The sequence below is a fragment of the Homo sapiens genome, chromosome 9, assembly GCF_000001405.40.
Source record: "Homo sapiens chromosome 9, GRCh38.p14 Primary Assembly".
Classification (NCBI taxonomy): Eukaryota; Metazoa; Chordata; class Mammalia; order Primates; family Hominidae; genus Homo; species Homo sapiens.
Window position 1 is genome coordinate 95,312,966 of NC_000009.12, and position 18,941 is coordinate 95,331,906.

The window sequence follows — 18,941 nt, forward strand, 5'->3', positions numbered from 1 at the left end:
ACAGGGAGGTGTCCCACCACAGGCTCAGTTACAAAATCGCCTGAGGGGGATGCTGAGGTACACAGTTGACCATTGGGTGCAGCTGATCACAGCGCACTACAAGAGCCTGCACTGGGGAAGATACACACCACAGAAGCCGGCGCTGCAGAAGCACATATGCCAAGGACCTAGCGCTGGAGACGTGCACACGCCTGGGAACAGGTGCTGGGGCGGCACCCAAGCACGGGAGCCAGCGTTGGGGAAGCGGCACACCCCAGGGAGCTAGCGCTGGCAAAGCACACCCACCAAGAGTGAGCGCTAGAAAGCCGCACACACTATGGGAGCTCCGCCCTGGAGAAGCGTCACGTGTGTGCCTGGGAACCAGTGCTGGAGAAAGTATGTGGAAGCTGGCGATGGAGAAGGCGCGCGCATGTGTGCACAACCTCGCTCTGGAGGAGTCACGGCCAGGTGCGCGCACGACAACCTTCACCGGAGAAGTCACACGCATGCGTGCGCTGGAGAACCTGAATTTGTAATTTCAAATTTCCCTATAAAGAAATATCCACGAACTGATGACTTTGTGAGTGAATTCTATCAAATATTTGAAGAAAAAAAAATACCAATCCTTCACAAACTCTGAAAAAATAGGAGGGAACACTTCCCAACTCATTCTAAGATGCCACTATTACGGTAATACCAAAGCCAGACAGACATCACAAGACAAAATATTACTAATATTACCATGAACATAATACAAAAATCCTAAACAAAATATTACTAAGCCAAATCCAGCAATATGTAAAAAGGATTATATAACATGACTAAATGGGATTTAGAATGCAAGGTTAGTATAAATACACAAATCAGTTAATAAATCATATTGATAAAGGAACAAAACCACAGTCATCTCAATAGATGCAGAAAAGCAACATTTCTAACATTTGTTCATAAGAATTCTCAACAATCTAGTAACAGAAGGAAAATCTCTCAACCTGATAAAGTGCATTTATGAAAAACTTACAGCTAACGTCGTATCTAATGGTAAAAGATTAAATGTTTTCCCCCTAAGATGAGAAATAAGTCAATAATATACACTCCATGTCTATTCAGCAAAGTGCTGGAGGGTCGAACCAGGTAAGAAAAAAATTAATCAGGCAAAAAAGAAACTAAAGGCATCCACATGGAAAGAAAAGTAAAACTATATTGGCATGATGCCGTATGTAGAAAATCCTGTGTAATTCACAAAAAACTGGAAGTAATCATCAAGTTCAACAAGGAAGGTTGCAAGATATAAGATTAATAAGTGAAATCAAGTGTATGTTTATATACTGACAACAATCCATAATGAAATTTTAAAAATAATTCGGCTGCTCTACCTGTGGAGTAGCCATTCTTTATTCCTTTGCTTTCTTAATAAACTTGCTTTCGGCCGGGCGCAGTGACTCACGCCTGTAATCCCAGCACTTTGGGAGGCCGAGGCAGGCGGGTCACGAGGTCAGGAGTTTGAGACCAGCCTGACCAATATGGTGAAACCCCGTCTCTACTAAAAATACAAAAATTAGCCGGGCGTGGTGAAGGGTGCCTGTAGTCCCAGCTACTCGGGAGGCTGAGGCAGAAGAATCGCTTGAACCCGGGAGGCGGAGATTGCAGTGAGCCGAGATCGTGCCACTGCACTCCAGTCTGGGCAAACAGAGCGAGACTCTGTCTCAAAAAAAAAACAAAAAACTTGCTTTCACTTTATCGATAAAAAAAATTTTAATGAAATTTTAAAAATAATTCAATTCACAATACCATCAAAAATAAAACTTCAAAATTAATTTACAAAAGGGCAAAATTTGTACACTGAAAATTACTAAATACTGCTAAGAGAAATTAAAGCGCTCAACAAATGGAAAGAGATTCCATGTTCATGATGAGATGGCAATTCTCCCCCAAATAGATATGCAAAATTAAATGCAATTCCTACAAAGTCTATCACAGCACGGTTTTCTGAAAAAAAATAACAAACTGATACTAAAATTTATATGGAAATGTAAGGAACCCTGAACCGCCAAAACAATTTTGAAAATGAAGAAAAACATTGGATAACTTACACTACTTAATTTCAAAACTTACTATAAAGCTGCCATAATCAAGATAATGTAATGCTGACATAAAAGGCATGCAGGTCTCTTACCCTCAGTCCCGTATTAAACTTGAGTTAGAAGATGCCAATCTCAAAATGGAGGTAAAACCATTGCCTGCTAGCCCCCAGTCCAACTCTGGTGGCCAATCTGAATTGTTACCAATTTTATTTTTCCAGACACGGTCTCAGTCTGCTGCCCAGTGTGGAGTGCAGTGGCGCAATCACAGTTCACTGTGGCCTCGACCTCCTGAACTCAGGTGATCCTCCACCTCAGCCTCCCGAGTAACTGGGACCACAGCCCCGCATCACTATGGCCGGCTAATTTCTTAACTTTTTGTAGAGACAGGGCTCTCTCTGTTGCCCACGCTGGACTCGAACTCCTGGGATCAAGTGATCCTTCCGCCTCCGCTTCCCAAAGTGCTGGGATTACAGGCATAAGCCACCATGCTCTGCCTGTTATCTGAATTGCCTTTCCTTCTCCACTTCTGCATTTTTATTAAAACATTGCAAAACTTCCAAGGTGCTTCTCCTGTATGTATTTTTTCACATTAAGTCAATCACTCAAGATCCACAAACAAGACAGAGAATGCACATATCCCAGCCTAAAATAAAACTTTTAAAAATCATTTGGTGCTCATTTCCAGCCCGATTTGAGGCCCTAACACTACCAACTTGGAACTACCACTCATGTGAGTTTCCTCTGGCTCTCTCCATGGCCCAGATAATCAATCCAACTTTCTACTGGCCAGGCTGGCCTCCCTGTAGCTGGTTCTCATAAACACGAAATTTGTATAATTGTTATTGGAACTACCTGCTGAAATATGGAACTGGTTAAAAGTACCATTTGTTTTAAAATGTACATGCACAGTTGCACATACATGCAGCAACACATCTTCCACAACCAGCCAATCAATCAAGTTAATGCTTTTTATTAGAGGACAAAACAAAAAATACCAATATAGAGCCTGCTTTTCTTTTCTGATGCCTTGGTAAACGTTTTTGGAGAAATCAAGAGAAAATATGACCGAATAAAGCAAAAATAAATTCGAATGTATAATATACAAAGTATAATTAGTCCAGTTCTCAAGAAGCAGGCTCTATTACTGGGAGTAGTGGGTTGGTGAAAAAGATCTCTGATATATCTAGGAAAACAAATTCTTTTTCGATGCAGCCTTTCTTGTATATGAATAATGTATATGAGTGCTTATTTCCAGGTGACTCTGGTACAGCACATAACATTGAAACATCAATTCAAGTTTAATGTATAAAGTCGCAATGAACATGTTTTCCATCTAAGCTTAGGTAATGAATGATCTCAACACATGGTATGAATTCTACTGTTTGTAACAACCTTTCAGGGGAGTAAGGAGAAAACGATCTGTCTGAGGGCATATCACTGACAGTGAGTGACAGCCACAAAGAGCTGAAGTTGGGTGGCCCAAAAGTGCTCTGCTCATTTGATAAATGCTAAGTCAAATCACATCACAGTTTAGATGCATTAAATGGGGCACAAGTTAGAATAAAATCAGATGCCCGGGAGTTTTCCAAGTTTCAGATTAGAACAAAAGTCCAGGCACATACAGGACTTTGCTAGAAAACTCCTTGGTCTCTTCCCTTAAGATTCTGGTACCCAATTTCCCATGTTATAAAACTCCAAGTCTTTTCCCCCATTCGGTGCGCTGGACACATAAGATCATAGAGGGTTCGTAGTTGTAAACGCACCCACCTAAAAAATTAAAAAGAGCAAACCAACAAACAGCACCTGAAAAATCTCTCACGGGCTTTGAAGATATGGCCTGGCGTCCACAAAAAGAATGGAGGGAAGACACTGGCCTCTGCGAACCCGCCTCCCTCCGGGAATAAAAGGCGGAGGGCGGGAGGGGTAACAGCCGCGCCCCGGGCTCCTCTAATTGGACCTCGCCCCTCCTGGCGCCCCGGCGAATGGGGTTTGGGGGCAGGGGTGTGAGGGACGGGGAGGACGAGGCCAGCTGTAGAGGGCGACCGGCTCAAAGGGGCGAGCTTTTCACGGCTCCCACGAGTCCGAGGCAGAGAAATTCACCTTTGCTCCTCTCCTTTGAAGAAGACATAGCTGCCTGCGCTCAATGAACAAAAAGAACCAAAACGCCAACACCCGGCTCCCGCCTCTCCGGGGGCTCCCTTCCGCGCGACCCCAGCGCCGGCTCCCGCCCCCGCTTTCCCCGCCCTGGCCCCGCCCCGCGGGCTGGCACCGCCCGCCACCTTCCGCCTCCCGCCTCCCGCCTCCCGCCTCAGCCTTAGCCACAGCCCTGCGCCGGCGGGAACCCCTCTCGCCCACCGCAAGGCGCGCCTGGCCCACCCGCTCTCGCGAGCCTTCCCTCTTGCCCCTCGCCTCCTCCTCCCGCTCTCGCCGCTGACGTGTCGGCCAGACCCCCGAGGGAAGCCTCCGCCCTCGCTGCGTTCTGCGGCCTGCCGCTTACCGGGTGGTCCTCGCGGGAGCTGCTTCAGCAGTTTGGGCAGTGGCGGAAAGGAAGCCACCGCCCGGGATCTGTGGCTTGAAAATTTGGCTTTGCCTCGTATTGGCTTTTTGAGTTTTTTTGGAATTTTCCCGCGGTCGCCCGGCAGTGGAGCCGCGCGCGCGCACACGTGTCAGCAGTGCATTCTGGGGCCTGGCTAGCGGCCCCGCGCGCTCCCGCGGCGTCGCGGGAAAATTCCGACGAATCTCGGGTCCGTGGGGCGGGGCGGGCGCGGCCAGGGCTCTGGCGGAAGTGGGCCCGGCTGGGGCGGGTTCTAGGCGAGCGGAGTCGGTACTGCTCCAGTGTTCCCGGTTTCGCGCGGAAGCCCCGGCGGGAGCAGGGTTGCAGCAGCGCCCGCGGAGAAGGGGCGCTGGCTTCTTCCATATTCTGTTCAAAATGTAGGGGAGGTAAAATGGAAATTAGTTCTTTTGAAGAAAAGTTGAGGCTTTGTCAACGGGGTAAAACCTCTAAAATAAGATTTTCTAACTGCGTTCTAAACAATAGCAACAAAAAAGGCATCTTCAGTTAATGATTTCCCCTACCGTACATTAGTTCCATACAGTGTTTGGTCGGGGTTCAAATCAGTTCAACGCTGTACATAAACCACCCAAACAAATATTAATAAAATTTTCTCCAAACTCCCATTTATGACAATGGCATTAGCTTGTCTTGGTGAATTTTTTTTTCTTCTAGGATCTGACGACTTAAGCTTTAAAATGTCTTAAATCAATGCCTCACAACCATAAATCATAATCATAAAACTACAGCTTAGGTCGGGCGCTGTGTCTCAGGCCTGTAATCCCAGCACTTTGGAAGGCCAAGGCGGGCGGATCACGAGGTCAGAAGATCGAGACCATTCTGGCCAACATGGTGAAACGCCGTCTCTACTAAAAATACAAAACGTTTAACCGGGCGCGGTGGCGGGCGCCTGTAATCTCAGCTACTCTGGAGGCTGAGGCAGAATAGCTTGAACCAGGGAGTCAGAGGTTGCAGTGAGCCGAGATCGCGCCACTGCACTCCAGCCTGGCGACAGAGGGAGACTCCGTCTCAAAAAAAAAAAAAAAAAAGCTACAACTTCACATATACGTTCAAAAACACACTACAGGCCGGGCGCGGTGGCTCACACCTCTAATCCCAGCACTTTGGGAAGCTGAGGCGGGTGGATCACCTGAGGTCAAGAGTTTGAGACCAGCCTGGCCAACATGGCAAAAACCCGTCTCTACTAAAAATACAAAAATTAGTGTGTACTCCCGGCTACTTAGGAGGCTGAGGCAGGAGAATTGCTTGAACCCAGGAGGCGAAGGTTGCAGTAAGCCAAGATCGCACTACTGCACTCCAGCCTGGGCAACAGAGCGAGACTCTGTCTCAACAAAAAACACCACAAAGCTGTGTGTGCTTGTAATAAAAATAGCTCTCAAGTATTTAAACATGTCCAACTATTCCTATGGTGAAGAAATACCCGTTTTACCAATGAATACTTTCAATTCAGAGACTAATTTGCAGAGGTTATACATTTATAAGTGATACAATAAGTATATAGCATAGCAATAGCAACAATCTGTTTAAGAATTAAAGGTAGTTAAAAAAAGGAACCGATCCAGAGGTTGAGACAAAACTGGCAGAATCTGCAACTACATTAAGGAATTCGGTGTTTACATCCATTCTCGAAACTATTCCATGCCAGTTAAGGAAGTCGGTGCTTTTTGATTGTTTTTTAATTTTAGATTCGGGGGTACATGTGCTTGCTTGTTACATAGGTATATTGTGTAATGGTGGGGATTGGGCTTCTGGTGTACCTGTCCCCCAAACATTGAACATTGTACCCAATAGCTAATTTTTCAGCCCTCACCCCCTTCCCACCCTCTCCCTTTTTGGAGTCCCCAGTGTCTTGTTATTCCCATTCTTATGTACATGTATACCTATTGTTTAGCTCCCGCTTATGAGAACATGCAATATTTGATTTTCTGTTTCTGAGTTTGTTCACTTAGGATAATGTCCTCCAGCTCCATCCATGTTGCTGCAAAGGACATGATTTCGTTCTGTTTTACAGCAGAGAGGTCGATGTGTTTTTGATGTGTGCATAGTGTGACATGGATAAATCAAAAGCAAGTCCTGGGTAGGGAAATACATGCCTGAGGGGCACTCATCGTGGCACCTTGACCATGAGAAAGTCACCTCTGTGGTAACAAATCGAGAGTGAGTTGACGTTTAAGTTCTGCATTTATCAGCAAAGAAAGCAATTAAAGTATGTATTTCTTGAGAGAAATTATCTATTTTGGTACCCACATCCTTTTACATATTCGCTGAAAAATCATTTTTAGTGTTTGTTAATGATTGATGTCTTGCCATATCCCAGTTTTCTGTCTTTTTAGTTCAGTGGTTAATAAAGAATTGCTAGGCTCATCCAACTTTGCAGTATATGAAATGACACCATGTTTAGGCCTAAATTAGACCTAAATAGGAAGCATATATAGCATAAAGATCCAAACTTATATTTATAGGGATTCATTTTGCCTGGCATTCATATACATGGAACTATCTTAATAATATTTTAAGCAATAGTGAGATGTTCACTTTGTAAAATGCCCAGAAAGTTTCCAGAGAAACAGATATTTCAATACAAACCCTCTTTTTAATTGAATCATAAAATTGATTATGGGTGATCCAATTTTTGTTTGTGTGTGGGAGTGTGTGTGTGTGTGTGTGTGGTTTTGATTTGTTTGTTTTGAGACTGCATCTCACTCTCACCCAGGCTGAAGTGCAGTGGTGCAAACACAGCTCACTGCAGCCTCGACCTCTGCGCTTAAGCAATCCAACCACCTCAGTGGCACCAAAATGCTGGAATTACAGGCGTGGGCCACCGGGCCCAGGTGTGTGTTACTCTGGAACACAGTTTTGGTTGTAGTATAGAACCCAATCACAAATAATGTCGCAAAATGAAAAATGGCCTATTTAGGTGAAAATTATTACATCGTTTACATTAAATCTTTACATTCTAGAGGAAAACAAGTCAATTGGCTGAGTGCTGCAAAGTTCCTGACATTATCAAACCTTCCTTCAAAGTTCAACAAATAGAATCAACTGTCTTAGAATCCACGTTGTGGAAACCATTGTACCAAGACTCCTACTTCCAGAATTAGTTCAGACACCACCCACCTGGTTTCCAGTCCTTATTTGGCACCCCAACATTTAACATTATCTTTTCTTTTTTTTTTTTTTTTTTTTGAGACAGAGTCTCACTCAGTCGCCCAGGCTGGAGTGCAGTAGCATGATCTCAGCTCAGCTCACTGCAACCTTTGCCTCACCGGTTCAAGCAATTCTCATGCTTCAGCCTCATGAGTAGCTGGGATTACAGGCACATGCCATCACGCCCTTAACACTATCTTGTCCATGGCTTTGATATTTGCCTCTTGTACCTCAGTTGTGAATAATGCGTGTTGAAGTTCCAGGCACTGGGCTAACTCCTTGGCCTGGGTTATTCCCTTTGATTCTCACAGTGATCTTATGTAATCCACAGTGGTAATATTCCACTTTCACAGATACAGAAACTCATGCACAGAGCCATCTCTTCTAGTGGAGGGTGGAACCTGGCTTCAACTCCATTTACAGTGGCCTCTTACTTATAATGTTCTTGCTCCTGGCCCAGGCTGGTGACTTGAAAATAGGGTGAGGTGATCCCAGAGGCTTCTGCACTCTAATCACCACATTACTTTCCCATTAAAACATTCCAACTGAGGAAATGTAAGTTGAACTAGAGAAGAGAACAATGAGAATATTTTTTGTGCCAGAAACACTTTAAGAAACGGAGCAGATAATAGTGAAGGGCTTTGATCTGCCACCGTGAAGGGGAAAAGGCCAAGAAAGGGATGGCTGCAGGAGATGGAAATTCATGGAAAAAGGGAAATGTATTATAAATGCTGCATGGAAGCTGCCACTTCTACCCTGCCCCCGATATGCTCACTCCCTAGGCTCTGCTGAAAGAATGCACCTAGGAGGACATGTTTGTACTAGAGCCTCCATTACTAGCCACAGCTAATTGAACCAGAGATGGTAGCCTGACCCTAGCTGAACCAATCAAACTATTGCTGGGGAATTTGGAATTGCAACACTGAGAGACTGTAACATCTCTATACAACAGGAGCTAAAGCCCTCATGCCAACTGGAGTTACTTGGGGAAGAAAAATATGTAAGTAGCAAAGAAAGTTGGCTGGCAGAGAAAAGCAAAATGACGTTGAAAGGCTGTTATTTATTCTGTGAGAGAGAGGGGAGCTTCCATTCCTTATTTTTTATTTTTAAGCCTAATTTTAAGGTTAACTGACTATATATTTTTTCTGTTCTTAGTTGTCCACAGGATTGCCCCATATCCTTGCAACAGTCATCCCTTTACCTATGCTGACTTCAGTGAGTTTCTCTCCCTCACTGCAAAGCAAGCCCTGACTAAGAACCTGGAGGTGGCAGCTCTTCATTGTGTCACTGGGCATTCGCACTTTGGCTGAGCCTATTTGATAAATTAATCAATAGATACCTATTGCGAGATTACTATAGGGAATGAAAAATGGCTTTTCTGTACCCATCCTAGGTTCATGGCTGAGGCCTCCATAATAAAAGATTAACAGGAGCAAAGCATAGACATTGCATGTAAGTTTCCCATGACATAGGAGCCTTCCTAAGGAAAGGAAGACCCAGAGAAGCTGTTAAACTTGTGTGTTTCTATGCCAGGTTTCATGAAGAGTGGACAGTTGTGGGGAGATACAGTTGAACAAAGATGGGAATAAACTTGGGGGGAATTTAGCAAGGCTTATTTGTTCAGATTTTTCTCTGTAACCCGTCAGTCTTCAGAGGTAAGAAAGTACCTTTCCTGTGGAGATAGGTACTGTGGATATAGGCAGCACTTCTTACATGAGGGTCTTAGGACCTGCTTCAGGGGAAGTTCAGAAAATCATTCCAAGGTTTTATGACCCGCATCAGGAGAAAGGAGAGGAGGGAAGGTGAGAGTGACTTTCCAGCTTCTGCCATGTTTTCAAATATCAACATGCTGTATTTAGCAGAAGCATGTTCTCAACCCAATCACTACAAAGCATAAAGCACAAAGCCTATACGCTGTGTGAAAGACACAGATCTAAGTATTTTAGAGTTGAGAGAAAGCAGGAGTTCTCTAGGTTTTGGATTTGGCAGGGGAGGGGGCCAGTGAAATGTCAGTAATATTAGAAGTTAACAGAGTTAACAACTTTTTATTTGGTCAAGTAAAGACCTTAGGAGAAAAAAGTCTGCCATAATTATAATTTCATTTTTTAAGAAATGTATTTTTAACTTTAAGACAAGATGAAGGGAAAAAGTCTCAAAGAACAGTCTTTTAAATTGAATAAGTTTTATTTCATGAAAAACTCATTATGTTGTTTTTATTCATCTCATTTTACCACTTCCTCCCCTTGTTAGTATCAGAACACTGCTTTTACTTAGCACGGCAATGTGCCCAATAAAAAGGACCACCTTCCCTACAACTAGACTCCATTCCGACTAGGGGTGGCCAGCAACTCAGCTGTAGCCAGTGAGAGAGAAAAGGTGGAAAGACAAGAGAGGCCAGGAGATATTTAGCCCTCTTCCCCTCTCTCCTGCTTCCTACTTAGTATAAGGGCAGAAGGGCTTAAGTTTCCGTCATCTTGGACTATAAACAACTCTCAAGGATGATAGTCACAGAATGAGGATGGCAGAGCAAAAAAAAAAAAGGAGGGCTGGGCACGGTGGCTCACGCCTATAATCCCAGTGCTTTGGGAGGCTGAGGCGGGTGGATCATCTGAGGTCAGAACTGTGAGATCAGCCTGACTACCATGGAGTAACCCTGTCTCTACTAAAAAAAATATAAAATTAGCTGGGCATGGTGGCTCATGCCTGTAATCCCAGGTACTTGGGGGGCTGAGGCAGGAGAATTATTTGAACCTGGGGGGCAGAGGTTGCTGTGAGCCGAGATCACTCCATTGCACTCCAGCCTGGGCAGCAAGAGTGAAACTCTGTCTCAAAAAAGGAAAAAAGAAAAAAGAAAAAAGAAAAAGAAGAAGGAGGACCCTGGGTTCCCAATAATCATGAGAATTACCTGGCTTGCCTAACTCTGGACTTTATAATTGCAAACCCCAAATATCTGAGACAGGTCTCAGTTAATTTAGAAAGTTTATTTTGCCAAGGTTGAGGACACACACCCATAACACAGGCTCAGGAGGTCCTGATGACATGTGCCCAAGGTGGTCAGAGCACAGTTTGGTTTTATACATTTTAGGGGGACATGAGGCATCAATCAACATATGTAAGATAAATATTGTTTCGGTCCGGAAAAGGCAGGACAACTCAAAGCAAAGGTGGGACAACTCGAAGTGGGGAGGGGGCTTCCAGGTCATAGGTAGATAAGAGACAAATGGGTGCATTCTTTTGAGTTTCTGATGACCCTCTCCAAAGGAGGCAATCAGATACACATTTATTTCAGTGAGCAGAGAGGTGACTTTGAATAGAATGGGAGGTAAGTTTACCCTAAGCAGTTCCTAGCTTGACTTTTCCCTTTACCTTAGTGATTTTGGGGCCCCCAGATTTATTTTCCTTTCATATTTCCCCCCTTTTCTTTTTAAAAAATATTTTGGAGAAAGAATTTTAGAAGAAAATGAGTCTCTGGTCTCATTTTTGTCTGATCTCTCATGGCTAGCAAGGTTTATTCCTAGATGGGTAGGTCCCAAGTTATTAGGAAAGTTCATTTTTAACAGGTTGTGAAATCTTATGTTTTATGAAGAGAAAATAGGGGGAGGAAGGGAGCAAAACAACAACAAACAAAAGAACAATCTTGGAAAATTGGTATAGGCCATATGATTCTGAAGTCCATACATCAGTAGGTAGGTATGAAAGTGGATTATGTATGTAAATAGGTTGCTGTTATTTTCTTCTGAAGTTTAAGTTGTTTAGCTTCAGTTTGCAAGGCTTTACAACAGTGACTCCAAATTAGGGAAAATGGGGGGGAAAAGAAGGAAAAAAATGAAAACATTATTTTGAAGACTTATAGCCAAGAAAAATTAGAATTTGGCCCAAACTGTAGAAAATAATAAAAACTGGAAAACATTAGGCAAGACTCAAATGTAACAACAGGTGTACTATAGTTTTTGAAACAGAATTTTTCTCTCTTCAGTTTCCCATTTTTACTACAGCCAAATCATGGTAAGACTGATTTGCTTTATTACACTTGAACTGACAATTTGTATACAGTGCAGCAAGAATAATTATTTGTTTACATAGGCTTTTAAATTGCCTTTGATGGAAATTTGTTCCATAGAAGGAATCTGAGATAAGACTTTTTTGAAGTCCAGCCCAGCCATGGATTTGTACCATCAAATACCTATGAGTTGGGTGAATTTCTCTACTCCTGAGGTTCCAAGATAGACTTGGGGCTCCTGGGCCTGTCAGAAAGTTACATTCTTTACTTACCACAGGTCAGGAACCCTGTACAGGGACTATGTAGACAAGGTATGAGGTCTGTTTTCCCAAGGGGCTTTTATTGGCTCCATAAGTCAAGTCTGATTCCTTAAAGGAAAGCACATCATTCCAGTCAAAGTCTTGGTAAAATAACCAGTTTCTCAAATTGTGTCCTGTTATAAATGAAGACATATTCTTACTGTACTTATGCAAATCACTGTATTGCCATAAGTTAAGAATATTCACAAATGGTTTCCAAATTCCTGAGAAATCAGGTAGAGAGAAACAAATATGTTCTAAATTTTGTTCACAGAAGTGTACTAAATTGTTAAAAGCTGTTAATAGCTCAAAAAAAGTTTCTTTGACTCTAAAGAAACAAAACAAAGGATGAGAAACGTTTTAAGCAAAAAGTCAAACAGATTACTTTAGTCTTCTGTTAGTTCAGTCCATGTGGTTAATTTCTGTTCTGCCTGATATTCACAAACATTTCAGTTCTCCATGAATCCCAAAAGTTTTTCTCCTATTCTGATGCCACAATTTCCAAAGTTATCAGAAACTTATATTCAAGAGCACCTGTTAGAGTTTTATAGCTGATTATAAAGCCACCTTCTAAAGAGGACCAAAACAAGACAATTGTCTGTGGATGACAAAACGTTTTATGGCAGCCATAGTCAAAGACACAGCTGACAAGGAAATTTGTTAGCTCTGTGGCACATAATAATTTAACTTAACAATTATAATTATTACTGATAATGTACACTAAGTCACATCAGAATCATAGGCATTTCCCATAATTTTGGAACACATACCAATAACATAATTATACAAATACAGCCCAGAGAAAACCAAACACTATTTCACATTTGACAATGTTTTCTGTATACTTTTTATACCAATAAGCCAAATTATGTCATTTTTGGACGTTAGGGAAACTAATATCTTAAAGGATTAATCAGGTCAGAAAAAGACATAATTTATCATTTGATTTTGGAAAGTTTGTTAAATATCAAAGGTTTAAAACACTTGATATCACACATCACTGTAAAATAAGTCATTCATTTGACTAAGGTGATAACTCAAGAATTTCCAAAAAAGGTGAAAACCTTCATTCTTTGAGAGAGGAGACTTAATTTTTCAAACAATAAGTCCTAATAAAAACAGTATGAAGCCAATTAAATTTTTTTCAAAATTTTGTGAACAATCTATATGATTTTTATCTTATCTTGACCATAAGATATAACTTACATAAGCCTTTTATAACCTTCATAACCTTTATTAAGGAGGTGGTTAATGCTTCAAGAAAACCTTGTTAATCTGACAGAGGGGTCCATATGATGGTCTTGCATCAGTGTGCCTTTAACATTAATGGTTAATTTATAGAAAAACTGAACTTATTTTATCTCTCAAAATGGGCCCTTACAATCCCACACACCCACATCTTCTGCGATAGTCCCCGAACATTGAGTTGTTGAATAGCTTTAATTTCTGGCCCTGTGTCTCAGGAATGCAGTTTATTTTGATTGACATCTTCTACGAGGCCTGAAGATGAGGCTTTAATTGCTGTATTTTAGATTTAGCAGGATTTAGTGTCCTCTTAGACCCAGGACTGAAAGCCCTGTAACTCAATGTCAAAAGGACTTTAAAAGCCCATACAGAAAGATACAAGGATGTAATAACCTTAATTAAAAAATATATTTTAATCTCAGTTTTTTTCTAAGGAAACCGAAAACTTAATAATAATGGCATAAGAATTGTTTCAATAAGCCATAAAATCTGTTAGGCCAGTTCCTAAAAGGCAAAAGAGAATAACTTCTGCACTGCACAGAATATTATGTTGGAAGAAAACATTTCCCTTACACCTTTAAGAAAACATTGTTAGCATCAGGCCACGACAAACAGAACTTGAGGAAAAAAACTTATATTACCTGAAAGATGAGTTGGAGAGTGTTACTGTATGTCAACCTTTAAAAGAGGAGAGAAAACCGAAAATGGCAAGGTGCAATAAAAGTTAAAATTTAGGTTAAAAAAAAATTAACATCTCTAGGCTGGGCGCAGTGGTTCACACCTGTAATCCCAGTGCTTTGGGAGGCCAACATAGGCAGATCATGAGGTCAGGAGTTTGAGACCAGCCTGGCCAGCATGGTGAAACCCCTCTCTACTAAAAATACAAAAAATTCGCCGGGCATGGTGGTGCATGCCTGTAGTCCCAGCTACTAGGGAGGCTGAGGCAGGAGAATCGCTTGAACCTGGGAGGTGGAGGTTGCAGTGAGCTGAGATTGTGCCACTGCACTCCAGCCTGGCAACAGAGCAACACTCCATCTGAAAAAAAAAAAATTCATTGCTCTAACCAATTGTTTAGTGTATAAGTGGTTTTTTTACATCAAGCCCCATCTGTAGAAAGACCACTACAATTTCCCTTTAATTAATAGACAATTTGATCATATAAAAGTTTTGGGGGTTTTTTAAATAAATCATCTTATTGTGACTTACACAGACTATTCATGACATGCTTGGACTTTCTGGTTTGTCCTGAACATCCCTGTTTGTTAAACAACCAGTCATTTTATTTTAGGACTAAATTGACCATACAAGATTCTGTCTAATGTAAAATTATTTCTCTTTAAGCTTTCTTACAAAAAAAAAAAAAAAACCTCTTTATTTTTATAACTTTCATTTCATCTCTCTTATTTCCTGGCTCCTTTTACCTTGTTTTATATATAACATTTATATAAGGTTTGAATTAGACAAAAATTGTTCACCTTTTTAAAAAAGACACACTTTTTTGAAATAATGTTTTCCTATAATATAGTTTTATTGGAAAATACCCAAATAATGACATATCTATTATTTACTTTAATATAACTTTAGCTTCTAAATTATGATGAGTTTGTCTACAAGTATTTATCCCATTACATTTGGTTAATTATTGTATTTTAATCATTTACCTAGATATTTATGAAAACTACAATAGTCTTCTTTTAAAGTTATGGAACCACCATTGCAAAATTATAACTAAGACAATGAAAAAGATATGACCTAACTGACTCCATCTTGCTTCTAACCTCCAAGCTGTTCTTGTTTATTCCTGGGTATAGGCTGAACTAACTTTGGGAGTAACTTAGTTTACAGTTTAGCTTTGAAACAAAGACGATAACAGTCCTTTCCCAAAACAAACCTTACTGCTTGTGGGCTAGACTGCCTAAAGTCACAAGATTAGAAGTTATGGTAATCTTACTAAATTTAAGATGTAACTATTTTCATTAGACCTATATTTATGTCTTATTTATTAAAATTACAGCCAGGTGCAGTGGCTCACGCCTGTAATCCCAGTTGGAGGCCGAGGCAGGCGGATCACTGGAAGTCAGGAGTTCAAGACCAGCTTGGCCAACATGGTGAAACTCTGTCTCTACTAAAAATACAAAAATTAGCTGGGTGTGGTGGCAGGTGCCTGTAATCCCAGCTACTTGGGAGGCTGAGGCAGGAGAATCGCTTGAGCCTGGGAAGTGGAGGTTGCAGTGAGCCGAGATCAAGCCACTGCACTCCAAACTGGGTGACAAAGAAAGACTCTGTCTCAAAAAAAAAAAAAATTACATAAGCAAAGATCATTCTGTCTTGGTCTGGATCTGTAATTTTGTAGCCCCTATGCCAAATTTTGACACCCTATAGTATTTGGCAGGGATAAGCATGAAATTTCTTGATTAACAAATGCAAACAAAAATGTATGCTGGCAATTCCCATTTCTAACATTACTTCACCAATAATTTCAAAGCTAGTTTATTTATGAAAAGATTTTACTTATGTAAACTTGAAAAAGCATTTGACTAGTCTTTTTTCCTGAGAAAGTATTTGGTTCAACCACCTTTACTTTCTTAAGCCAATTAATTGGAGTTCCTTTATATATTTTCAGTAGTGAAACATTGTGTACACAACACATAAATACAGAGATGTGTTAGGCATGCTGATAGAAGTACATCTCATAGATTCTTAAGAGCTTTTTTTTTCCTATCTTAGACTTTCAAATTCTTTTTTCTTTTCTTTTTTCTTTTTTTTTTTTTGAGACAGAGTCTCGCTGTGTCACTCAGGCTGGAGTGCAGTGGCACAATCTCAGCCCACTGCAACCTCTGCCTCCCAGGTTCAAACGATTCTCCTGCCTCAGCCTCTTGAGTAGCTGGGATTACAGGCGCACACCACGATGACTGGCTAATTTTTGCATTTTTAGTAGAGGTGGGGTTTTCCCATGTTGGTCAGGCTGGTCTTGGACTCCTGACCTCAGGTGATCCGCCCACCTCGGCCTCTCAAAGTGCTGGAATTACAGGCATGAGCCACTGAGCCCAGCCTTCAAATTCTTGATAGCCTGTTTTCACTACCCTAGCCAGTTGTCAGCTAAATAGCCTTAAATTTTCATATTAAAGGGGCCAACTCAGGTGAAAATCAAATAGCAAGATTTACATCATATTGTACAAGGAGAAAAAGTCTGGTGCGCTAGAGGGAAATTAAAGTGGATTTAATTGCCAATTAAACATAAAATTATAGAAATCATAAAGGTCTTTTAAATACACACACACACCGACACACACACACACACACACACACCCTATAGCTTTTACTTCAGAACTTTTGGCCATGAGTTAAATACAAATTCACTGGCTTGCAAACAAAAAACCTGTTGGATTCAAACAGTGGTTTTATTTTATTTTTTGAGATAGAGTCTCGCTCTGTCCCCCAGGCTGCAGTGCAGTGGCGCAGTCTTGGCTCACTGCAAGCTCTGCCTCCTGGGTTCATGCCATTCTCCTGCCTCAGCCTCCCGGAGTAGCTGGGACTACAGGCGCCCGCCACCACGCCCGGCTAATTTTTTGTATTTTTAGTAGAGACGGGGTTTCACTGTGTTAGCCAGGATGGTCTCGATCTCCTAACCTTGTGATCCGTCCACCTCGGCCTCCCAAAGTGCTGGGATTACAAGCATGAGCCACTGGGCCCAGCCAGTGGTTTTTATCTTAATAGAAAAATAACAGCAGATTTAAAGCAGGCAGAAAATAAAATAGAGGAAAAAAGAATTTAGGAACACTATAGTTTGCAGATCGACCTTAGGGGCTTTTTTTTCCTTAATGTAATTGTGCATAGAGACCATATTAGTTCCATTTTACATAAACTGTGGCAAGTAGGGGTGCCATAAAATCTACAAAGTGCTCGAAAGGGGGTCATTCTCCTCGTTTTCTCCTAATTCTTATTGTTTCCCACTTCTTTTCTTAAAAGGAGTAACTGAGCTGTGAGCTGCAGGCTAGGTTTTTGCCTGGTGGATTTATATACGCTGCTTGTGGACAGGACTCCACAGTGTGTAACCACAGAGTTGTTTCCACCCTTTCACGTGTCTCGATTTCTCTCTCCAGACATCCCTGACCTCTGAGAGGGATCAAAATGCTGGATGATCAGCCCTTATATGTGTTTCCCGGACAGGCCTTTTTTTAAAAATTAATTTTTGTGGGGGATTTCCCTGTAGGGCCACTGCACATCACAGGGGATCAATCCCCCAGATACTTCTACGAGGCCCCCCTCTCCATCACCTGGGGCACCTTTCAGCTGGGAGGAGCAAATGCCCTTTCTCTTTGGAACTAAAGAAAACTCAATCTCTCATTTACCTATGAAAACAACAGTTCAGTTCCTCACGCAAATTCGTATAGACAAGCTGAATCAGGATTAATTTTGAGAGAAAAAGCAATAGAGAAGACCCTTTAGAATATATCTCCTAATTAGAATTAGGGTCCTTAAACACCTTTCTAGGAGAGAAATAAAAAACAACAGCTAAGACCACTTCCTGTAAACTGTGTTCAGCCACCCCTACTTTGTAGCTCTCGTCCGCCGTTACACACACCAAGGTCAAATCCTCTCACAGTACAAGGTCATCTCTGGTACCCCCAAAGCTAAAGAGGCCAGGCCATGCAATAGAGGAAAACAGAGCTCTAGACCTAAGAAGAATCTGCCCATGACTCTTTAAACTCCACATAGAAAATAGAACAGCCCAAAAGGGCTGAGTGACACCTTTGTTCTGAATTCTTTAAAGGGGTTCAAGTCATTAGAAGCCTTTTCTAGACTTTTTTTGGTACTGCAGACAGCAAAGGGGGAAGGAAGTACAGGTTGGAAGAAAAGTAAACAAAAGAAATTTGTTTTTGGATTTAAGACAGGAAGCAAACGCAAGCATGGATTTTTGCTTTTTTCTCCCCCTTTTGCAGCTGCAAGGAATTTTAGCCAAATTAGAGAGGGTTTGTTACCCATAATTTAGAATTCTCACTAGGATTTGACCTCACTAGGTAGAGTTGGTCAAATCTGATGGGAGAAAAACCGGAACAAACAACAACAACAACAAACCCAACAATATGATCACTGAGCACTCTAATGGTAAGGAGTAATTAAGGCCAGGTGGTTGCTGAACTTTAGCCAAGCCAAAACCCCAATTCAGATACCTACCTAGAGACAGGTCTCAGGCTGATGACTGCCTTCAACCGTCCCAGAAGCAGGGAAAGAAAACTGAAATTCTTCTTCCCTGCTGCGAGTGAACTCAGACTTCATAAAGGAGTTACCTGCCTTCCATCATCATGGAAGCAGGAAATCTTGCCTTCCTTGTTGGAAGCAAGTAAAACTCTTAAAAAAAAAAAAAAAGGAGAGAGAGAGATAATTGTATAGCAAAATAAAAATAAACTTTAGATCACAACCAAATTTCGGGAGACCAGGGATTCTCTGGAGGGGGGTGCTCCCAGACCTCAGCAAATTGTCCTGTTGATTTGAACCATAAAGTTGGCTCATGCTGGTACCAAACACCAATAGGAGATTTGTCAAAGGTCACGAGCAGGGCATCTGCACTCAGAATCCCTCTGTGGTTACCAAAATGTGAACCCCAAATATCT

General features: G+C 41.6%; 1 protein-coding gene across 15 annotated transcripts in view, besides 2 other annotated features; it reads right to left on the reverse strand.

Moving 5' to 3' along the window:
* The window catches only part of FANCC (FA complementation group C), a 218,656-nt gene extending 213,912 nt beyond the window's left edge, over positions 1 to 4,744 (reverse strand). For 7 of the 15 annotated variants that reach the window (XM_006717001.4, NM_000136.3, XM_006717002.5 and 4 more), the window contains exon 1: positions 4,561 to 4,744. The gene's annotated coding sequence lies outside the window, so the exon portion shown is untranslated. Of the gene's footprint in view, positions 1 to 3,866; positions 3,935 to 4,163; positions 4,290 to 4,560 lie in introns of those variants that run through there. The other 8 variants (XM_047422950.1, XM_024447451.2, XM_047422953.1 and 5 more) reach the window with 2 other exon arrangements.
* Positions 202 to 261: an enhancer, noted in NCBI's record as "active region_28637". NCBI's record gives its function as "activates an Ori minimal core promoter by ATAC-STARR-seq in GM12878 lymphoblastoid cells {active_cell/tissue: GM12878}" and the evidence as "EXISTENCE:reporter gene assay evidence [ECO:0000049][PMID:35858748]".
* Positions 4,096 to 4,415: a silencer, noted in NCBI's record as "silent region_20064". NCBI's record gives its function as "represses an Ori minimal core promoter by ATAC-STARR-seq in GM12878 lymphoblastoid cells {active_cell/tissue: GM12878}" and the evidence as "EXISTENCE:reporter gene assay evidence [ECO:0000049][PMID:35858748]".